Here is a 3,514-nt window from a genome sequence, read left to right on the forward strand (position 1 = left end):
GAAGCAGGCTTCTCCCCTCCTACTCGCACTGACATCCCCCATTTCCAGCAGCAGAATCCTGTGCCTCAGACTAGTTCACCTCTCCTCTGAAAGCAGCATGGTCCGTCTCAGCTCCCGGCCTTTGCACATGCCATGTGCCCAAGCCAGGAGCACCATCCCTTCCCCAATTTCACCCCCTCTCACTCTTGCCTCAGGTCCCCGCAGCTGCCTTCACCACGGAGATTTCCGAGAGACCCACCCACACCCACCTCCCTCTGCTCTGAACTGCTTGAGCTTTGCACATCTGCATTCCTCCTTCTCTGGTGCTGTCTACTGCAGAGCCAAGGCCGAGTCTTCTCTTTTCTATGTATTCCCACTCAACTTCCAGCAAAGAGCGTTTTGTGGAGCAGGTGTTGGATAAACACTTGTTGAATTAAAGGCACCGTCCTGAAAGTGCAATCAAATCCAAGATTGCCTGGTGACTTCGGAGTCAAAGGAAAGTCTAGAAAGGTGGTCTGATGACAATTTCTGGCCAAGCCATCTCTAAAGACCTGGCTCATCTCCCCTTCCTTCCATTAGATTGGTGCAAAAGTAATTGCGGTTTTTGCCATTAGCAGTGGCAAAACCGCAATTACTTTTGCACCATCCTGATACCTTGACTCAATGCCCCTGTTATGTAGAATTGTATATGCACCTCTTTGTACCCCAATAATCCCTGTGCATGCTTCTATCATAACTCTTATCACACTATTCTTAAAATGTGCTTGCATGAACTCCATTGCCTTCTCATTTGATGATAAGATCTCTGAGGGCCAACATCATCTAATTCATCTCTGCATCTGTAACATTTAAATTAATGGTAACAGCTTGAACTCTGCAGTCAAATAGGATCATATTCAAGCTCTTCCTCTTATGTGTGACCTTGGAAAGCTTTCATTACTTAACCTCTCTAAGCTGAATGGATTGATGGAGGATTGTTGCGAATTATTATTCTCCATAATAATAATATTATTACCATCACTTTTTAATAAATTATTATTATTAATGCAGGGACAGCATTTAATTCAATGCCTGGCACAATCAATTGTAGTTAAATAAATGGTTAAAAGTTCATAGAGGCTGATTTTTCACCCTCTTCCTGCCTGTGTTACTGCCTTTTCCAAGAAACTGTTCCAAGAAATGATAAGTGTGATGTGTATGGCTGCTGATTCCAAAATTCTCTTTTCCTGCTTTCAGATTCCCTGCACAGACATTCCAAGTTCTAGTGCTCCACATAAACCAGTCCTTGATTTCAGAATTTCTCTAGCTTCACTTTCCCAGCGCAACACCACCCGATGACCGTGGCTTGCCAGAATTCTCCGTGACAGGGACTGCATCACTGTCACAGCCGTTGTCACTATGATGTCACCATTATCTCGCTTCATACATTTCTGTCATTATGTCAATGTCTCATTTCCTTCTCTGGTGAAAAAAAGGAAAAGACTCACAGCTCACCCTGGAATCCATCAAAAGTGTAGAAACCAAACTAGAAAATTACAAAGTGAAATTTCAGTTGTCCTGAGAAATAACACCTGCAGCATGAACTTTCAAAGGATCACTCAAACCCATATAGAGGAAAGAATAATACACACCAAAAATGAACGGTACATGGAAACGTGTAAGATTGTGTTCTACCAATGTATACAGTTCAGAGTTAAACACACAGGGGGAGTAAGTTCAATTTTCCAGAAAAAAAAAAGAGAGAATTTCCTATTGAGAAATAAAGTCAAGCTAATAACTAAGGAAAGTAGTGAATTAATGAGAAGATCCAAAAATATGTATTTTTTTGAGACTGGGTCTTGCTTTGTCACCCAGGCTGGAGTGCAGTGGTGCAATCTCAGCTCACCGCAGCCTCGACCTCCTGGGCTCCAGAGATCCTCCCACTTCGGCCTCCCAAAGTACTAGAATTACAGATGTGAGCCACTGCACCCAGACCAAAAATAAATTTTTAAAAAAATCAGAATAACTTATGAAAAAGAGAAAAGTCAACCAGGCTCACATCTGTAATCCTACCACTTTGGGAAGCCAAGGTGGGAGAATCACTTGAGCCCAGAAGTTTGAGATGAGCCTAGGTAACATAGTAAGATCCCATCTCTATTTCTTTAAAAATTAAAACTTAGCTGAGTGTGATGGCACACGCCTGTGGTCCCAGCTACTAGGAAGGCTGTGGTAGGAGGATTGCTTAGGCCCAGGAGGTGAAAGCTGCAGTGAGCTGTGATCACACCACTGCACTCCAGCCTGGGAGACAGAGTGAGACCTTGTCTAAAAACAAAAGAGAAAGAAAAGTCAAACCACAGAGTTGACAAATAAGGATGTTTAAATCAGTACTTAATAGTTCAGCCCTGGAAATAAGATAACTAATATTCTATAAGTCTCTGGATTATGTATATGCTAAAGTATCAATTCATCACAGTAGGCAGGGCAGCCAGATAATTCTAACCAAAAATAATCTGCTTTGCATCTCAAATGACCCAGCAGAGCTAGCCCTGTGCCAGTGCATCCTTCACCAAGCTGTCCTGGTGACAACATGACAACATGTCACTGATATTTACTTGCAGACTCTAAGTATCCAGAGAGCCAAACCCACTGAATCTCAGATCTGGCACCATCCGCCCAGATCCCGTAACTCCCTTTGCTCCCCTTCTCTTTCTTCACCCTGGTCAGCTCCGTGAGTGCTCCAGAGGCCACCACTGTGGGTGAATGAGACTGATGATGATGGCTAATGAGGGTGTTGTCACTGTGATGCTGATAGTCAAGTTTGAGTGGGTCTAGTTTAGACTGCTACGATTGCAGGCTCTGGTTTCTGCCTTAAAAGGTAATGACAAATGTCAACATGCTGCAGATGGCAAAAGCGAGGTGTCACCTTCTGACTCATTTAACATTTTTATTAGTGATCCAGGAGCTCGTAAATGGCATGTTACTATTATCTGCAAATGACACCGTATGGGACAATGAGCACATAAGAAGGTAATGCGGCAGACAGTCCCAGGGAGTCGAACAAAGGAAGAGAACCGAATGTCAAGTTGGCAAAAAGAGATGAGCTAATAGGCTTAGGCAGGATGAGACAAACCACAGATAATGGATGGGCTGACTGGCCAGCGCAGATGATGGAAACTCCTAGAGTGAGTCACAGCCCATCACCCTCCTCTCTGCTCAAAGCTGAAGCCATCACTGTCAGGCCACTCTGTTGATGTGAGGCTCAAACCACCATCTGGGAGCCATGTGCGCACTTTCACAGTAAAAAACAATTATTAATAGAATGATGAGTCTAAGATGGAGTGGGTGCAAAGACAGAGAACTCTGGAGAATTAGGGGAAGAAAAAGACTAGGCTTTCTGCAAAGGTCAGGGGTGTAGTGTAAATATCCCCTCTGTTTCCTTCTGTTACTTGCATGCTCCTACACTACCTTCTCAGTCACAAGGTGAATGGAACCTCAAATGCTCACTCTCAAGTTGGCACTGGCAACATATGGCTTGGGGTCCACAGATCCTAAACCC

General features: G+C 43.9%; 1 annotated feature.

Annotated features, from left to right (window-relative positions):
* Positions 2,963 to 3,012: an enhancer, noted in NCBI's record as "active region_27206". NCBI's record gives its function as "activates an Ori minimal core promoter by ATAC-STARR-seq in GM12878 lymphoblastoid cells {active_cell/tissue: GM12878}" and the evidence as "EXISTENCE:reporter gene assay evidence [ECO:0000049][PMID:35858748]".

Source organism: Homo sapiens, chromosome 8 (assembly GCF_000001405.40).
Source record: "Homo sapiens chromosome 8, GRCh38.p14 Primary Assembly".
NCBI lineage: Eukaryota > Metazoa > Chordata > Mammalia > Primates > Hominidae > Homo > Homo sapiens.